The sequence below is a fragment of the Homo sapiens genome, chromosome 21, assembly GCF_000001405.40.
Source record: "Homo sapiens chromosome 21, GRCh38.p14 Primary Assembly".
NCBI classification, from domain to species: Eukaryota; Metazoa; Chordata; class Mammalia; order Primates; family Hominidae; genus Homo; species Homo sapiens.
Window position 1 is genome coordinate 26,896,250 of NC_000021.9, and position 20,589 is coordinate 26,916,838.

Here is a 20,589-nt window from a genome sequence, read left to right on the forward strand (position 1 = left end):
TTATGTTTATAAGGTATATTGGTAGTTTTCTTTTTTTTTTATTATTATTTATACTTTAAGTTTTAGGGTACATGTGCACAATGTGCAGGTTAGTTACATGTGCCATGCTGGTGCACTGCACCCACTAACTCATCATCTAGCATTAGGTATATCTCCCAATGCTATCCCTCCCCATTCCCCCCACCCCACCACAGTCCCCAGAGTGTGATATTCCCCTTCCTGTGTCCATGTATTCTCATTGTTCAATTCCCACCTACGAGTGAGAACATGCGGTGTTTGGTTTTTTGTTCCTGCAATAGTTTACTGAGAATGATGATTTCCAATTTCATCCATGTCCCTACAAAGGACGTGAACTCATCATTTTTTATGGCTGCATAGTATTCCATGGTGTATATGTGCCACATTTTCTTAATCCAGTCTATCATTGTTGGACATTTGGGTTGGTTCCAAGTCTTTGCTATTGTGAATAATGCCGCAATAAACATACGTGTGCATGTGTCTTTATAGCAGCATGATTTATAGTCCTTTGGGTATATACCCAGTAATGGGATGGCTGGGTCAAATGGTATTTCTGGTTCTAGATCCCTGAGGAATCGCCACACTGACTTCCACAATGGTTGAACTAGTTTACAGCCCCACCAACAGTGTAAAAGTGTTCCTATTTGTCCACATACTCTCCAGCACCTGTTGTTTCCTGACTTTTTAATGATTGCCATTCTAACTGGTGTGAGATGGTATCTCATTGTGGCTTTGATTTGCATTTCTCTGATGGCCAGTGATGGTGAGCATTTTTTCATGTGTTTTTTGGTTGCATAAATGTCTTCTTTTGAGAAGTGTCTGTTCATGTCCTTCGCCCACTTTTTGATGGGGTTGTTTTTTTCTTGTAAATTTGTTTGAGTTCATTGTAGATTCTGGATATTAGCCCTTTGTCAGATGAGTAGGTTGTGAAAATTTTCTCCCATTTTATGGGTTGCCTGTTCACTCTGATGGTAGTTTCTTTTGCTGTGCAGAAGCTCTTTAGTTTAATTAGATCCCATTTGTCCATTTTGGCTTTTGTTGCCATTGCTTTTGGTGTTTTAGACATGAAGTCTTTGCCCATGCCTATGTCCTGAATGGTAATGCCTAGGGAGACTTTAACACCCCACTGCCAACATTATACAGATCAATGAGACAGAAAGTTAACAAGGATACCCAGGAATTGAACTCATCTCTGCACGAAGCGGACCTAATAGACATCTGCAGATCTCTCCACCCCAAATCAACAGAATATACATTTTTTTCCGCACCACACGACTCCTATTCCAAAATTGACCACATAGTTGGAAGTAAAGCTCTCCTCAGCAAATGTAAAAGAACAGAAATTATAACAAACTATCTCTCAGACCACAGTGCAATCAAACTAGAACTCAGGATTAAGAAACTCACTCAAAACCACTCTACTACATGGAAACTGAACAACCTGCTCCTGAATGACTGCTGGGTACATAATGAAATGAAGGCAGAAATAAAGATATTCTTTGGAACCAACGAGAACAAAGACACAACATACCAGAATCTCTGGGACACATTCAAAGTAGTGTGTAGAGGGAAATTTATAGCACTAAATGCCCACAAGAGAAAGCAGGAAAGATCCAAAATTGACACCCTAACATCACAATTAAAAGAACTAGAAAAGCAAGAGCAAACTCATTCAAAAACTAGCAGAAGGCAAGAAATAACTAAAATCAGAGCAGAACTGAAGGAAATAGAGACACAAAAAACCCTTCAAAAAATTAATGAATCCAGGAGCTGGTTTTTTGAAAGGATCAACAAAATTGATAGACCGCTAGCAAGACTAATAAAGAAAAAAAGAGAGAAGAATCAACTAGACGCAATAAAAAATGATAAAGGGGATATCACCACCGATCCCACAGAAATACAAACTACCATCAGAGATTACTACAAACACCGCTATGCAAATAAACTAGAAAATCTAGAAGAAATGGATGAATTCCTCGACACATACACTCTCCCAAGACTAAACCAGGAAGAAGTTGAATCTCTGAATAGACCAATAACAGGATCTGAAATTGTGGCAATAATCAATAGCTTACTAACCAAAAAGAGTCCAGGACCAGATGGTAGTTTTCTTGTAATCTGTCTTTCTGCTTTTGGTATTTCAGCAAAGCCAGTCTCATAAAATGAATTGGAAATTATTCCCCCCTCTAATTCTAATTAACGAGTTCATGTAAAACTATTGTTTTCTTTCTTCAATGTTTAATAGAATTCAGCAGTGAAAGACATTCTGCCTACCCAATGCTTCTTTTTTTTACTAGTATTCAATAATATGATTAAAATATGGCTTCTGTGGTTTTCTTTGTCTTTATCCTCTTTGTTGAGTTTCTCAGAACTGCAGATTTATAGTTGTATTAGTCCATTTTCACATTGCTAAAAGGAAATACATGAGACCGGGTAATTTACAAAGGAAAGAGGTTTAATTGACTCACAGTCGGGCCTGAGCAGGCCCAAGGAAACTTACAATCATGGTGGAAGGCTAAGGGGAGGCAGGCACTTTCTTCACAAGATGGCTGGAGAAAGAAGCGCTGAATTGAAGGGGGAAGAATCCCTTATAAAACCATCAGACCTCGTGAGAACTCACTGTCACAAGAACAGCATGGGGGAAACTACCCCCATGATTCAATTACCTCCATGTGGTCTCTCACTTGACACATGGGGATTATGGGGATTACAATTCAAGATGAAATTTGGGTGGGGACAGAAAGTCTAACCATATCAATAGTTTTCATCAAAGTTGGAGAAAATTTGACTATTATTGCTTTAATCTGACCTTTCCTCCTCTTTTTCTGGAAGTCCAGTTGTCCCACAGGTAAGTGAGACTGTATTTATTTTTCAAGATTTTTTCCTTTCAGTATTTTTGTTTGCATACTTTCGTTGCTATGTCTTCAAGTTCATTGGTCTTTTATTATATGGTCTGTTATCTACTACAAAGTCCATCCATTTAATTTTTTCTCCCAGATATTATGCTTGTCAACTCTATGAAGTACATTTGTTTTCCCAAGTCTTCCACTGCTCTAGTACCTTGTTTTCTTTTAAATCCTTAAGACTATGTATAATGTTTTAATGTACTTGTCTGCTACTTCCATCATCTCTAATTTGTTTGGTTCTATCACGTTTCTCATGATTATGAGTCATAAATTCCTGCTTCATGTTCAGTAGTTTTTATATGATATTGGACATTGTGAAATTATGGTGATAAGTGTGTGGATCTTGCTGTCTTCATGTAAAGAGTGTTGAAGTATATTTTGGCAGAAAATTTAATCATTTGTGCATTATTTTGAACTTTATCTCTCATCTTTTTAAGGGTGGCATATAGTAGCCCTACTATGAAGTACCCTCTGCATTTTCTTTTAAATGCCTCAGACATTCAACAAAGTATCCCCTTTTGGCTTGATCAGTGTGAAGTTGTCTCCCATTCCTGTATGATCTTCGGGAATCATTCAGCTTACAGCTGCGCAGTAGCTTTTCATTTTTGTACAGGCTCATGGAGTTTTACCCTATTCATTACTTAGTTTTACCTCATGCATATATTGCTTAGTGTTCAACCAAGCTATCAAGGGGATCCATGCAGATTTCTAGAGCTATTTACTCTTTCTTGCAAGTTCAGCTGCTTCAGCCTTTCTGAACTCTAATTGCTGTTCCATCAACTAGGTGAGACTGTCATGCTTGGTTTGGGCTCCCCTTATCTGCTCTGAAATTAAGAAAGGTGTTTCCAGGAAGAAAGTGCAGTGATTATATAGTTCACCTCTTTTGTTTCCCTTTTTTAAAGCAATGCAGTCCTGTACTTCCAGCTGTCCAATGCCTGAAAATAGCTGTTTTACATATTTTGTCAGTTTTCTAGTTGTTTTTAGTGGGAAAGCAAGTTCAATTTCTGTGATTGTGTCATAAGCTGAAATAGCTGTTCTTTCTTAACTTTTAAACCTCTATCTTGAAATTTAAAACTGTGTCAAAATAATAATTGGTAATATACTTTCAAAATCCAAATGGTCATCAAATATGCTGGTCTTAAGTGAAATTAGCAATCTAGCATTTTATTTTGGGAATGCCTAGATACCTCTGACTGTCAAAATAATAATATGGCTTCAATTTTTGATAGTGACATCAAAAAATAAAACCTTTTACCAAATAAATCCCCCAAATCAGAATAGCAAAGTCTTTTGTATTCCTCAAATCAGTCAAAGGTGTTTTGTTTTAATTTTTCATTTATAGTTTCAGAGAAAAATTTATATTCTTTAGAATATATTTGTAGTAGTTGGTGTTCTCATTTCTTTTTCTTATTTTACATACTAGAATCATACTCTTGGATCAAATTCAAAAGCAAATATACAAAAAGACAGGATAAAAATCGACCATCAGCCAAAAAAAAACCCAGTATTTAATCTAAACTCCTTTGCTCTTTTTTCTTGAATTATTTTGCCATACAAGTAAATGAACACAAAAGAGACAATCAAGTATTCCCTGGCTGATAATGTATAAAGATGAATTTCAACACTTCTCTTTGGAAGCTTTAAGTAATGTTCAGTCCTGAAACAGGACTTTAAAGGGATCCATTTTCATTCACAGTCACATAGATAGAGTCAATGCTTTAACTTTGGTCACAATCTCATTTTGGTCCCTTTGTCTGATCTCTCATTCCTTAAGTTGTGTCTGCTCCTGCTCTAAATCAGACCACATATCACAAAGGCAGCACAGGGATTTGTGGGTGGAACAATCCCAAGTTTCCTACTGAAGACTAGCAGTACTGTGTGCTCACTGAGTCTCTGAAGCTCAGAGAGGTATTAGTTTTAGTGTTTGCGGTGGGAAGGGCAGGGACAGGAGAGGTTGGGCATGGTACCATGCTCGCTATGGTAAGGCATAGAGAAGTGTCACATGGAAATGTGAAGTGTTGTGAGGACATCAATGTGAACTTGGTCTTTTTGAACCAATAGATGAACAGGTGCTGTTGACAGCGTTGGCAAGTAATTTGACTTCTGGTTATGAATTATTGATCTCGTCCCATAAAAATGCAATGGGGCAGGTGACCACACATTTTTAAATTACTTTTGGCATCATCAGCTTCTGGTCATCTCTTTATGTAAGTGTTTTCATTTTTAAATTAGATTTGGCATCATCAGCTTCTGGCCATCTCTTTGTGTAAGCGTTTTATCCTACAGGTAAATAAACTGACTCCAGCTGTCTTGCGTGTCAACTCTTCCAACAAGCCTGACACTTAGCTATGATTTGGCTGCATACAAACCAAGCACTGTCTCCAACCAACACTTATTTTGGCTTCTATTTCCTAGGTCCATGGTATACATGAAAATTTCTCACGTGATTTTAATATAGTTTTATCCGATAGAGCAAACATTGAATCAGCATCTATGTTGAGTTAGTCAGACAAAGTATGATGCCGTATTTGAATGCATTTATAAAAATAACACTACTATCTTAGGTATAAGAAAGGATTATCATTTTTCTGGGGATTTGAGGTTTTAAAAGTGTGTATCTTGAGTGACTGATAACATTTTGTTAGCATTATCTGAGGTCGGGGCATACACTGTGATCATCTTCTCAAGTCTCCTAAGATTCTTGAGACTAAATTTAGTGAAGTGAACAATAAATGGTTATAGGCTAAGCTATGATGTGAAACTGATTTAGTGGATGAAGATATGACCAGTTTTCAAGGTGTTTATGCTTTAAACACATTTTTTCTGTTTGGTTGATGTTTTCCCCCTCATTTTCCTATTGCTAGTCAGTTATTCATCTTAGTTCAAAGCTAGCACTTTAGTACTTTTGGAAAAGGACATAGAGAATAAAGGAATGGTTACCAGAGGCTGGGAAGGGTACTAGGGGGTTGAGGGGGAGGTGGGGATGGATCATGCGTACAAAAAAAAAGGGAGAAAAGATGAATAAGACCTACTCTTTGATAGCATAATAGGGTGACTATAGCCAATAATAATTTAATTGTATATTTTTAAATAAATAATGTAATTGGATTGTTTGGAACTCAAAGGATAAACGCTTGAGGGGATGGATACCCCATTCTCCATGATGTGCTTATTTCACATTGCATGCTTGTATCAAGACATCTCATGTACCCCATAAATATATACACCTACTGTGTGCCCACAAGAATTTTTTTAAAAATACAAACAATTAAAAAAATACACAGAAATTCAGAAAATTAAAATGAAAGGATATACTGTGGGGCCAAAAACTAAAGCAGTGACTATAAGTGAGGCCGAAGGGCTTCTCAGAAGCAAGAAAGTCTAGATCCCATTTGCTTTGATGTTTTGGGTAAGGCTTTGTCATTGTTTGCTTCTTGACTCAGCTAGATAGGTCTAGTTAGTATTTAAATTCCAACTTCCAAATCACAAAGTGATCTCACATTCACTTTGTGACTTTTAACGCTTACATTAGTAATAGGCTTATCAACATTTTGATGCCAGTAGAGGGGACCAATAATTATTGAGATCTAACGGAAATAAAATAAAGGTTTAACTTATTTAGTTGATTCTCTCAGATGTTCATATTTAGCCTAGGGAAAATATATTTGCTAAGTTTTTGTTATAGGAGCCACAGGAATAAACATTTATTCTCTCTCCCAAAGTTTTCTTCTCACATTCTTTCTGTTTTACTCAGTGACTCTCTGTCTCCCTCTATTTTTATTCATGACTTGATTTTGTTGGTATATTCAGTTCGTCATTCATTCATTAAATGTGAGTGGAAGTGAAGTTCCATTAGAAGTTTAGCACAAACATGACTGGTTTATTTCAGGGTAAGCCCATCAACCAAAGGTGGAAAAAATTCCAAAAAAATTCTATTTGCTGGAAAATTTGCTAACAAACTTGGATACTCAAAAGACTTGCTCACAATGTGGGATTTGAGGGTGGGGGCCCGGGTGGAGAAAATGCAAAATATAATAAACACAACAGACATTCACTGGCATAAAACTGATTGGAGTGCTTTAGGAAAACAAGTTACGAGAGAACTATGAAAACAGCTTTGTACTTTGTGAAGTGGAACATTTTAGAGATGCAGATTATAAAGATTGGAACTAATAGCAAAGCCCCAAAATGAGGTTTTTGTTTTGGGTCTGCACATGCACAATTTATTCTTCATTCAAAAAGAAATTTTAGTTTGCAAACAGGATGTATACCAGACCCCTTAACAATCTAAGTATTTCATCTACACAGAGGATTAGTATAAACACTTGCCCTTTTATAGTGAAAAAAGGTTAAGCTAAAATGAAACAAATTGCATTTAGCTTATCTTTTTAAAATTAGAAGAAAAAATATAAATGAAGCATTAGGTTTTTTATTAAAAACATATTTTAGAATGTTTCTTTTTCAGGTATATTTATTTTCTTCTTTCATTTGTTGACTTCACCGTGAACTTAAATAAGTTCTTGGCATGTTCTTGGTTTATTTGACTTTTGACTTAACAAGGCAAGGTATGAATTTGAGTCTCTAAATTTGGAAGAAGTTCTTTGAAGTGAGGCCCTCTTAGCTTCCTGGAGGAAGCGACAATTAAATTTGCCCTTAGGGAAAGGACACAATTTCAGTAACAAAAGGATGGGGTAGAGTACTCATACAGAGGGGATGGGCCCCTAGAATGCAAGGATGTGGGGGACAGCCAAGTCATGTCAGGTGGTTGAGAGTAACCTCAGGGTGCAGGACATAGGCAAAGTGGAAGGTAAAGCAGGAAAGTTAGGCTTGCCCACACCCTATCATGTCAGGATTCAGAGGTTTATTTTAATAATTGGCACCTGGTAGCCTTTAACAGCTTTAAGTAGAGTTCCATGAAAAAGAGTGGATAAGAAAGAAAGAATCACTGAAAAAAAGAGACCAAATATTTATGGAGCTATTCCTCTGTGCTACATATTATATAGTTATGCTATATCCCCTATCATGCAGATGGGGAAACTAAAGCTCAGATGTGTTTAAAAACTTGCTAAGATTTATAGATTGATAATTTTGATTCACATTTATTGATTGAACAAAACTTAAGCTTCAAGAGGATTCAGGATTCAAGAGAGGATTCAACAGAGGCTTCAAGATGGGAGATCTGGCCTTAGGCATAAGAGACTGGGAGTGGGGATACTAGATAGATGTGAGCCACTAGCCTGCATCCAGATGAAACTCATAAACTGTATCTAATGTTCCAGAACATAGGGCAAACACCAGAATTTTTAGTTTTATTATTTTTTTTTTCTGGTTATAAAAGTATATAGGAGGCCGAGCATGGTGGCTCATGCCTGCAATCCCAGCACTTTGGGAGGCTGAGGCAGGTGGATTACCTGAGGTCAGGAGTTTGAGACCAACCTGACCAACATGGTTAAACCCCGTCTCTACTAAAAATACAAAAATTAGTCAGGCATGGTGGCAGGCAGATGTAATCCCAGCTACTCAGGAGGCTGAGGCAGGAGAATCGTTTGAACCTGGGAGGCAGAGGTTGCAGTGAGCCGAGGTTGCACCACTGCACTCCAGCCTGGGTGACAGAATGAGACTCTGTCTCAAAAAAAAAAAAAAAAAAGTATATATATATGATTTCTGAGTTAGAATACTAGGCATGCTTAATAGTATACCTCGTCTGAACTTCCTTTTAAAATTCCCATAATAATACACAGATAGTGGCAGCAGCACTATAAATTAAATACAAGAGGCGAACAAGGGCAGAATTTTCTCTAATTTCATCTCTGGTGTGACAGATTTGAAAAGCATATTCTTGGGTTCCACATTCTAGGTTCCAATCTCTGAGCTTGGACAAGAAAGAAGCCACCAAGCTGGGGCCTGGGGGTGGAGCGAGGTGGCTCACGCCTGTAATCCCAGCTCTTTGGGAGGCCGAGGTTGATGGATGGCCTGAGCTCAGCGGTTTGAGACCAGCCTGGGCAATATGTTGAAATCCTCTCTCCACCAAAAACACAAAAAATTAGCCAGGCAAGGTGATGCACCTCCTTTTGGCTTTTAGATCAAGACTAGAAAACTCCCCTAAATGAAGTGAAACTTGATGGAGGCTAGCTCCTCTCTTTATTGCAAAAATCATCGTCTGGATTGACAATTTTTTTCCTCTCAAAGATGAGCAACTAAACACCAAACCAAAGCATATAGTCTATGAAAAAAATTCTAGAACAAGGAATGAGAACATTGTCATAAAGATGTACAGAAATAATTTGTTTCACTGCTTCACTTTGGAAATCTCCTGAGGAGAAAAAGAAAAAAAAACAAAACAAAATGCCTGTGCCTCAACCCAGAGCTTCTGATTTAGTTGGTCTGGAGTGAGGCCTGGATGTTGTTTTTTGTTTGTTTGTTTGTTTTTAATAGATTTGTTTTTTAGAGCATTTACAGCTTCATAGCAAAATTGAAAGGAAGGTAGAGAGACTTCCCATATACACCCTTCTCCCACATATGCACAGCCTCCCTTGTTCCCAGCATCTCCCACCAGAATGGTACATTTGTTACAATTGATGAACCTACATTGACACATTATTATCACCCTAAGTCCATGCGTTAGGGCTCACTCTTGGTGTTGTACATTCTATGAGTTTGGACAAATGTATAATGACATGTATCCACCATTATAGTATCATACAGAGCAGTTTCACTGCCTAATATGGTTTGGTTCTCTGTCCCCACCCAAATTTCATCTTGTAGCTCCCATAATTCCCATGTGTTGTGCGAGGGACCCGGTAGGAGATGATGGAATTCTGAGGGTGGGTCTTACCATTGCTGTTCTTGTGATGGTGAATGGGTCTCACAAGATTTGATGGTTTTAAAAATGGGAGTTGCCCTGCACATGCTCTCTTTGCCTCCCGCCATCCACGTAAGATGTGACTTGCCCCTCCTTGCCTACCACCATGATTGTGAGGTCTCCCCAGCCATGTGGAACTGTGAGTCCAATTAAACCTGTTTTTTTTTTGTAAATTGCCGAGTCTCAGGTATGTTTTTATGAGCAGCATGACAACAGACTAATACACTGCCCTGAAAATCTCCTTTGCTCTGCATATTTATCCCTCCCTATGCCCAAACCCTGGCAACTAGTAATCTTTTTACTGTCTCCATAGTTTTGCCCTTTACAGAATGTCAAACATTTGGAATCACAAAGTATGCAGGCTTTCCATATTGGCTTCTTTCACTTAGTATCATGCATTTCAGTTTTTGCTATGCCTTTTCATGGTTTTATAGCTCATAGCTCATTTATTTTAGCACTTGATAATATCCCAATGTCTGGATGTACCACAGCTTATTTATTCATTCACCTGCTGAAGGACATCTTCGTTGTTTCCAGGTTTTAGCAATTATGAATAAAGCTGCTATAAACATCTTTGTGTGGACAGAAGTTTCAGTCTTTCTGGGTAAATATCAAAAAGTACAATTGCTGGATTAAATGGTAATAGTATATTTAGTTTTGTAGGAATCTGTCAAAATGTCTTCCAAAGTGCCTGTATTATTTTTCATTCTTACCAGCAATGAATGAGCGTTCCTGTTGCTCCACAGGTATTTTTAAAAAGTGCCACAGGTGACTTTAATGCAGCCAAGTTTCAGAAGCCACTGACTTAGGGCAAGAACATCTGTCAGCAAACATCTTCTCTCACTTAGTATTAGTTTCCTTATCTGGTAGAAGAGAAGCCTTCCATAAGACAATAGATCATTGCTTCTTTCTGACTTTCTTGAACATGCTGTTACTTTAATGTTTTTATTATAAAATCCTTCAAGGAAATACATGTCCATGCCAAAATATGAGACCCAATTGGCAAATGGAATAAGCCAGAATTACCAAGGATCTAAGATTACTTCTTTGTGCTTTTTAAATTTTAAAATATATTGTCATCTAAGATACATTGACTACAGAATGATAGAGAACAGTACCAACAAAGCCAAGATCTTGAACTGGTGCCAATGCATAGGAAAGCTTATTGGGCTCTGTTCATGGCCACAGACCTCTAACCTGATGAAGGCCTCACATTACCGACAAAAAAAGAAGAAAAGGTATGTTCCTAGACTACTTTCTCCTAAACTCCTGGCCCTTAGGTGCTTGCTTTATCTTTAAAAGGAAGGGAGTGGATGATACGATTTTTAAGCTTCCTTAATTCTCTAATCTATGCATTACATTATTTTTCTTCAGTAACAGAATTTCATTAGCATTGACGACAAGTTAAAAAGCATGTTCTACTAACTTTTCATCAGCTACGTTAGGTGTAATAAATATTCTTATACTGGGTCTATGATAAGATAAGTGAAAGACTTGCTTCCAGCACCAAATTTGAGCAGGGCGGAGGTTTGGTAGACTTTGTTATCAAGAAAAATTATACTTTAGTGTTACAGTTTTAAAAATTTAAATTACTGCACAACAATCCACGATGGATAAATCATCAACAGTTCTAAATAGAGACAGATTGCATTTTTAAATTAAATGTTTTGTATTATAAATTAATATCTACAATGTTTGTTCTAGCTAATATTAAAATCCATATTCATGTAATCATTCATACAACAAACTTGTAGTGATTACAAATATAAGGATGTTTAAAACATGACTTTGCCCTCTCAAGACTTATAATGTTATGTGGGGTAGTGACGTTGTCAGGGTAAGGAAGAAACAGACTTCTGCAATTTATTTAAAGTCAAGGCAAAAATAGAAAAGTATAATAATATAGATACCCATAATATCGACATTTAGAAGCCATAGTAATTGGTTTTTACTGGAAATGAGTGTGTTTGTGCGTATGTGTGTGTGTATGTGTGTAGTAGAATAGTAGCAGCAGAATTGGGCCATCTGCTTGACAAATTAGACCTTTTAACTGCATAGAGCTTTGTTAGGAAAGATGATTGAAAGACAACCTGGCTGAAGAATTATATGGCAAAGACCCAGAGACATGAGCATTTAGAGGAAATCTGGCCTTTGTGTCAGAATCATCAGTGTGTTTGATCAGGTATAGCAGTTGCACATGTGGCTAGAAAAGTTGGTTGGAATTTAGATAAGTACCTGTCATCTGCTAGATTCCAGAGGAAGGCATGCACTATGGGGTCAAACACTGAGCTGCAAATATTCTTTAAAGTGTGGAATCCTCACAAGTGAGAATCCACTGTATTTCTAAATACAATAGTGTTTTGGAATTTTGTTGCTTTGACCTAGTAATGTTAGCTGAGAAGATTTAGTTAAACATCCAGGAAAACACGCTGCCTCCAAAGTTTAGCTTTGAACTGAGAAAAGGAATTATTCACTGCTTCATCTATATCATATGCACAGTGAATCAAAACCAATATAATTTGTTTTTAGTGACTACCTTTCATTTTGGTGGCTTGAGTACTTTAACATACTAGTCTCTGTGTATATCAGGCTTTGAATTGAGTCAAGATTGACAATTATGATTGAGAATCATTTCCATGAGAGAAAAGCAAGCACATCAAAGTGCAATCATTTTTCAAATCGTACACTTGATTCTGGAGATGTAGTTAGTGTCTTTGGCCTTGACTTGAAAGCTGTGGTGTTGAGTCCTTTAGGAGGTGGAAGGTAATGGGTTTAGACAGCAGAAATAAACAAGAACTTCAGGAATCCTGGTTTGACATGATGGAATCCAGTGGCAAGTACACTGTATATATCTAAAAATGAATAACAACCTCATGAAAATGTAAGTAGAACTTCATAGTGCTTTCTACCCTGATCTTACCTGATCTTAGCCATAGTGCTTGTAGCCTTCTCTTTCTTTCTCTCCTTCCCCCTTCTCTTCCACTCTTCCTCTTCCTCCCTCCCTTCTCCTCTTCCTCTTCTTATTCTTCCTCCTCCTCCTCCTTTCTCTCTATTTGTCTCTCATTTCTTGACCTCTAAGATATTGTTTATTGTGGTTCCTTTTTGGTATTGACCAAATTTCTGGCTATTGTGTTACTGGTGACTTCTTTTCTAAATTAGGAAATTGTGTTTGGAAAAACAGAAAGAAAAATACTCCCCTTGCTCCCCAAATTTTTGTTTCTTTCGTCAATTAGAATAACATTAGGGCCAAGTTTAATGGCCCTAATGTTAAATAGCCAAGTTTAAGAATGTATATTTTGGCATAAATCTTCATGTACAAGCTTTTAAATAACTCTTACTCTCAAGCAAAAGTTTAAGAATTTTTAAACAAAAAGATTATTAAACAAAAAACCAATATCTATGCTAAGAAATGCACATTGGAAACTGAATTAGGATTGTCTGTTGTAGTATCATGTTTTTGTACTTCCTAGAATTCCCTAAAAACTAGAACATGGTCATTTACAGAGTTTATTATTTAAAAATACACGCTATTTGCACCTAAAATAAGATATTATTTAAAAATGCCATTGAGGAAACAAAACTTTCATTCTTCTCAACTCTTTTCATTTGGCTATATGGAAAACATTCCATTTAACTCATTCAGAAAATGTGCAAAACTGGCTTTAGGTACAACACTAATTTTCTAAAATGCATGGGCCAGGGCCGTTTTCCATAGATTTCTTGCAATCAGTTGCATATGGCTGGAAGTAGAACTAACGGTGATTTACAGTAATTGCCTGTCATCAGTCTATGCCATGTTCACCTGCATAATCCATCAATTGTCCCAACAGTGCCCACAGCTCATAACCTACCTGAGGTTATTTGGGTCTCAGGAAACACACAGCATGTGCCAATGTTCCAAGAATGAAGCTCTGGTTCCCAGCTTCTGCTGCTCCAACTTCTATAGCAGCAAGGAGAAAAGAGTAACAGACATACTGATCACATCTAATTAGAAGGTAAGAAGTATTCCCTTGAGCATGTTTATGACACAGGCACAATAGGACAGGAGTAGTCTATTCAAGCGGGTTCCTCAATCTCAGGACTACTGACATTCTGGAGAGAAACATTCTTTGTGTCGGGGGATGGGGGCTGTTCTGTGCATTTCAAAAGCTTCTTTGGATTCTTTCCACTAGATGTCAATAGCATCCCTCCCACCACTGTGGCAATCCACAACATCTCCAAACATCACTAATATCCCACAGGGAGAAAATTTTTCCGGATTTAGAACCACTGTACTAAGGGAAAATTAAAACTAGAAATTTGTAATTGGTCAGCATTATATACTGAATGCATGAAGTATAAGTAGTCTACATAGTGAAAAAATAATAGGACAAATATTCGTAAAACTAACTTAAAGTGATGTGTATAAACACAAAGCATACATTGACCTTTTGGAAAACTTTTCATGGGTGAAAGGGAGTGGTAAAAGTAAACCTCTACAGTTATGACCCTTCTGAAGCAACTGTGTTTGGAAGAAAAAATGAAATGTGAGAATGGTAGAAACTTTTTTCTACACTGGTTCTTACTTTGACCAACTCATTGGTTTTCATTGTACCCTTCGGCTTATGTAAAATAATTATAACTTTTCTTTTCCATGATAGCCTTTCAACTATTTGAAAGCACATGCTGTTTTGTTCTGAAGTCCATTTTCCAAACTTTATTTTGTTATACAAAATAGGACATAGTTTTAGATCCTCCATCTTTCTAACCTTTCTCTAAGCAGAGCTTCAATCTGTTTATATTATTATTAAGATTCCCAAGGTTGAGAATCCTAATTCCCATGAGAAACTGAATCAGTTAGAAATGCTTTTGTCTCCAAAATTCAGAATATCCTGCAGTGATTTAATCCTTTAACAAAAAAAGTTCTTACATAACAAAAATTCCAGGGATGGTTAATTGTTGATATTTGTTCAACTGCTCAAAGACCTAGTCTCTAGCTGAGCAGATGTTATTATGGAGCAAAAAAAGCAGGTGGAATGGAAGTTAGCAGTGTCAGAATCTGCAACATACCTTATCAATGCAGACTAGGAAGAGCATCACCATTTATAACTGTATTAATGCACTTTAAGAGCTTGTTGCTTCTCTGGGTATTGTATTACATGATTGATACTGTATCTACCTGTATCATAGAAGCAATTCCACTGCAATGTAATTTCCTATATATGCACCCCGTTGGCTTTTGCTTGTTGAATATTGAAACCGAGTCTTATTTGTGATCACATCCCTGTATTATTCTGGGTCATATTACATATGTGCTCAAGAATTGTTTAAAGGATCAATGAATACTAAATATGTTCTAATTTTAGGAGCAAAATTTTCACTTGTGAGAAATTACTTCTTAGAAAATTTCCATTTACAGCACATTTGTTTTTGTTTATGTTACATTGGATTTTCTTATTTAGCTTCTGGAGGTATATAAATTATCTCAAATTTGTACATAATATTTTGTGTGCATGCTCATTTATTAAGTAAACTACAGCTTTAATAAGTTTCTTAAAGAAGCATTTGGTTCCCTGCATCAGATGTTAAGTTCCTATACAATACAGATTTTTTGGAAGAGGATAAATGAAAGATCAAAGTTAAAGGACTTCGAGAGAACATTTATTTTCAAGAAAATGTGACAGCCAGCTGGGGCCTATTTTAGAGAGATTTCTGTGTCCTCCTATGACCCCAAAGTAAAAAAAAAAAAAAAAAAATCTACAACGACAATTCCGGATTTTATGTCTAATTCTGTCACTGAGCTCACATAATGGGGAGCAGTCAATGCAAAAATTTTGGAAATGGCTTAGGAGTCTGATTCTAATGGATTGGAAAAATAACAATAATGTGCTCCAGAAACACTCAATCAATATTAAAATAGTTTCATTCTTTCAGTATGAGGAGGGTGCAACATACAATCTGTCCTTTCTGTAGTTTCCTGACCCATTTTTAGCGGTAGGTGCCTTTTAAAGTCTGTGTTGATGAATTTATATAATTGATCCATAATCTCTGATCAGCCCCATAGGAGCAATGGCAGAGGAACACGCAGGACTTAGGAGTGAGCTGTATCACTTGAATGGAGCTGGAACTTAATTGTAGCTTCATTAAATAGATCCAAACTAAGGCTAGCTACATTTTCTAAGTATCACATTTCCCAAGTCTTCATTTTCCTCATTAGAGGGGTTTCAGTTGCTCACAAAAGACTCAGCAGATGCCTGAACAATTCATTATACTCTTGTACACATCTGGCTTAATCAATTTTGTAAAATGAAGATGTCTTGTCCAACTTTACATGTAGAACAGATAAAAACTTTCTTTCCTACTGGAAAATATATTTGGGGCCTGCTTACATCCTGATTCACAGAATGGTCCCCTTACTTCCTGTCTACCTTATATCTGAATACCTCTGGTTCACAGAGTAACAACACCTTTCAGAAATGTTGAAATTTTTTTTTCAGGGTAAGGCATTTAGATTGGGAGACAAACAAACAAACAAGCAAAAGAATCAATTCATCCTCCCCACCCTCACCAAGGAAGCTTCCCCAGTCAGAGCACTAAGTTAATTACAATACTGAGACTTCTTATCTGCAGTTTGCTTATCTTATACTTGATCGCTTCTCAGCCTTTTGGCTAAGAGCAAGTGTAGTATTTTATACTTGAATGGATACAAAGGGTAGTAATCTCCTCCTCACTGATAACTATTATGCCTTTGTAATTCTAAATATTGTTTCTGAAATAAGAGCCTCATTTTTTCTGCATGTAGGAAAGACATGTTAACAATGAAAAATTTACTTTAAAAGGTTGGTAACCAAAGTATAAAGTGGCATATTTTATAATTTTTCCATTTCTCGAAGAATCAAGGTAGTATCTTTGAGTGTTGTTGATTCACGCGTTGTGAAATTTTTAATTAGTTGTGTTACAAAGGAATATTCTGGCACTTCCAAGGCTTGAGCATAAAACATCTTAGAGATTCTACTTGGTTTTCTGGAAAAACCTATTCTTAGAACCCTTAGCCACTTTGTAAGAAGAGTGAATACCCTGTTGAAGAGGCCACACAGAAAGGCCTTGCGAATACCTGGAGAGGGAGGGGAACCCAGCTGAGACTGATTATCTAGCTGTCCCATCCAAGACATGAGGCATGTGATTAAACCTGTCTTGGACCTTCCAGTTAAGTCCAGTTGGTGTGTGGAGCAGAAGTATCACCCAGCTGAGAGCCCTGACTCACAAAATCATAATATTCAATAAAGTGTTGCTTTAAACCACTCCATTTTGGGAAATTAAGTAATAACAGCAATATATAACCAAAACACGTTTGTCAAATCTTTGACCCATTTGATTAAAACCGTTACACATGTATTGATTGCCAACAAAGAATTTTTAGCTGCATTTGGAAAACATTTTTCCAGGCAATAAATCTCCATATCCATCAATTTCCTGCCCCTGTTTTCTGCCTTGTGTTTGCTTGTTTTTATCACTGTGACTACAGATTGCTACTCTACATCACATTTTTAACCAATCCTGTCCTGGAGTCAGTGTGTATATATGCAGCCCTTGTTAACAGCTCAAGTGACTTGATAGCAAAATTAGATTAGCGATGGTCTTGTTCCAAGATTTTGTGCCTGATCTGGTAACTCTGAGTTTGAGTTTTTCTTGTTTCCACCTTGTCCTGTAACCGTGATAGTGACAGGAGGCTACCAAATGCCTAGGCTGATGGGGCAGGTCCCATCCAAAGACAGTTTAAAGCCTGAAAGCCAAGCTACAATTTAAATTTTCACACCGGATTAAGAACTTGTCTTCCCGCTTGGCATGCTTTCCTCTGACTGATCACCACCCTTAGCCTATTTTACATATACCTACCCTTTCCTAATTGTTTTTCTACACTGTCGTGCCCACCTTTGAGTGGTGTTTTTGCTTCAAACTTTTTTGCATACTCACAAACCAATCAGCATGCACTCCCCATTTTGAGTCCATAAAAGCTCCAGGCTCACTCATATTGGGGGACTTTCCTGCTTTTAGGTAGGGGAAGCACCCCCCGCCCTTCTTTCTCTTTGCTGAGAGCTTTCCTTTCATTTAATACATTCTACTCCACTCACTCTCTGGTGTCTGTGTGCCTAATTCTTCCTGGTCATGAGACAAGAACCCGTACCTAGCTGAGCTAAGGAGCAGAAAAAAATCCTGCATCAACCCCAATAACTGGATTGTAATCTTGTTCATTCTGCTTATAGGCCTAACATGGTAGCCTTTCTAATAATCCACTCTAGATTGAGATTATTCCTTGTTTTCGTGTGTACATTCATTTTCTATTACTACCATAACAAATGCCAATCATTCAGCATCTTTACCAAACCTATTTATAATATCACAGTTCATAGATATCTAAGCTCAGCAGAGCTCAGCTGGGCCTCTGCTCTGGGTTTACAAGGCTGGAACCAAGGTATCAGCAGTGCTGCATTCCTTTCTAGAAGATCTAAGGATGAATCCGATTCCAACAAACTCCTTCATGTTTTAGCTAGAATTCATTTGTTTTGAAGTTGTAGAACTGAGGTTCTCATTTCCCTGCTGGCTGTCCCATTGGCCAGGTGTCATTCTCAGCTTTCTAGACACTGCCTGAATCCTTTTGATCCCTTTCTTCATCTTCCTAGCCAGCAGTGGAGCATGGACTCCTTCTCATGCTTGGAGTTCCTCTAACTTCCCCTTCTGCCTTTCTCTTCTGCTTTTAAGAGTTCATGTGATTAAACTGGGCTCTCAAATTAATCCAGACTAATCTTCCTATTTTAAGGTTTGTTGGTTATAAACATTAATTCCATATCCACAGTATTTTCACAGCAGTACCTCAATTTGTGTTTGATTGAATGACCAAGAGACAGGAACTATGGGGGCACATCTTTAGAATCCTGTCTTCCACTTTGGTGTCATACCAGGAACTGAAGATCTGTCTTTGAATCAAGTAACCAGGTTCTTGCTACTACCCATCTACCATGGCTCCTCTACTTCTTGGGCCTAAACTTGGCTTGATTTTTTTCTAAAATTTTTTTTTTAAACAGCATTACTTGTTAAAAATATTTATATACCCACATTTTGCCATTTTGCAGAGACATCATCAACCATTTCCTGAACCCTTTAATAATTATTATTTGACTGGGTTGCCATCAATTTATTGATTCAGTCATTTATTCAACAAGTACTTATTGAATGCCAGGTACCTTCTTAGGAGCTGGTAATACAGCAATGATACAAAATAAAGAGTATGGTCTCAAAGTATGTACATTTCTACATCTGGTTATATGATAGGGATAACAGACTTATACAAACGAGGATATGGTGAAATTTCAGGAATTTACAAGTGACATGAACAAAAATGAAGGAGAAATGTGTCTATTTAATTTAGGGTGGTCAGGAATGGACTCTCTGAGGGATAACATTTAAGTACAGACTTGAAGGAAGCCAGGAAGCCAGTGTATATCTGGAGAAGAGCGTTTTAGGCAAAAGATTCTGGAAAAGGTTTAAACTTGATGCCGTAAAGAGTAGCAGAGAGGCAAAGTAGCTGGGGAGTGAACCAAGGGGTAAGAAAAGGAGGGAAAATCAGACAGGTCGGTGGTATCAGATCCTGTGCGGCCTTGAAGCCTGTGGAAAGAAGATTGTTTCCTACTTTCAGTGAGTTAGTAAGGTGTTGGAGAATATTTGGCAGAGGATTTAAATGATCTCACTTAAAGCTTTTCATTATTAGTCTAGCTGCTGAAGGCAGCAAGAAGTCCCATAAAGAGGCATTTGCTGTTGTTCAGGATAGAAAAGATTAAAGGATTCTACTCAAGTGGTAGCAGTGTAGGAGCTATGAACTGGCTGGTCTTAACATAATCTTAAAAAAAGAGACATCTATTGCTTGTTCTCATATACTAATATTCTGTCTGACACTCTTATAGCTGGTCATAGTCAGGCACTTCCTTTGAGTGTTCAAAGCAACATCTTTGAACAGAGGGATGGTAAAGGAGCTTGACAGTAAAGAAACAATCTAGGTGGAATCTTTACAATGTCTAGTAGGTAGCAGACATATTTGGAAGATGAAGAGGTTAATGCTTCTCAAAGTTTTGTAGATAAAATACTCTTTTTAAAATCTAAAACTGGCTCAGCCACTATTTTTGGAAGCAGTCTACTTATAAGTGATTAAGAAATATTTTCCCATGCTTTCCAAGATTTAGATGCTTCTTATAGTAAATAACAACAATAAAAAGCCCATAATTCCAATTGAAAGCAAATCCCAAAGGAGGCTTAGTAGGGAGACAAAGCATTGGAGGTAGCTAGAAGTAGAAGGAGAAATCTATATTACAGAAAATCTTATGAATGTACATTGGAGTGAGGTCTTGGGCTAGGTACTGCCCCAGATGGTTAATCATTCTGGCATCGTGTCTCCTTATGTGACAGACATGGATAGGAACTAGAAAAAGCAGGGCTATTCTACTATACTCCCTCACCTGTATCTACATAATGACATATAATCATTTATTTTGTGGGAATTTAATTTAACAGAATTTAATTGAACAGATAAAACACTCAATAATATATCAGAAAAGACCCAACAGAATCTGAGAAATAGAGATGATTTGGACTTCACAAACATCTAGAGTTCCATTTCTAAGCATCCCCTTTGTTCATTCTACTCCTAATCCAAAAGCTATCCCCATTACCACTTTTATGCCTTTGACCTTGTCTGACCCAACTCATTTCCAGCTGTGAAGGAGTTTGTAAGGTAAAATACCAAACTCTTTTTTGAAAAACTCTTACCAGCAA

The 20,589-nt window shown here is 37.2% G+C and overlaps 1 long non-coding RNA gene across 1 annotated transcript in view, besides 1 other annotated feature; it reads left to right on the forward strand.

The window, feature by feature from the left end:
• The window catches only part of LOC105372760 (uncharacterized), a 55,507-nt gene extending 41,356 nt beyond the window's left edge, over positions 1-14,151 (forward strand). The window contains exon 3 of the long non-coding RNA XR_937632.3: positions 13,617-14,151. This is a non-coding gene — a long non-coding RNA (uncharacterized LOC105372760). The remainder of the gene's footprint in view (positions 1-13,616) is intronic.
• Positions 13,664-14,212: an enhancer, noted in NCBI's record as "NANOG hESC enhancer chr21:28282232-28282780 (GRCh37/hg19 assembly coordinates)". NCBI's record gives its function as "activates a minimal SCP1, AML or CMV promoter by ChIP-STARR-seq in naive H9 embryonic stem cells {active_cell/tissue: H9 hESC(naive)}" and the evidence as "EXISTENCE:reporter gene assay evidence [ECO:0000049][PMID:30033119]".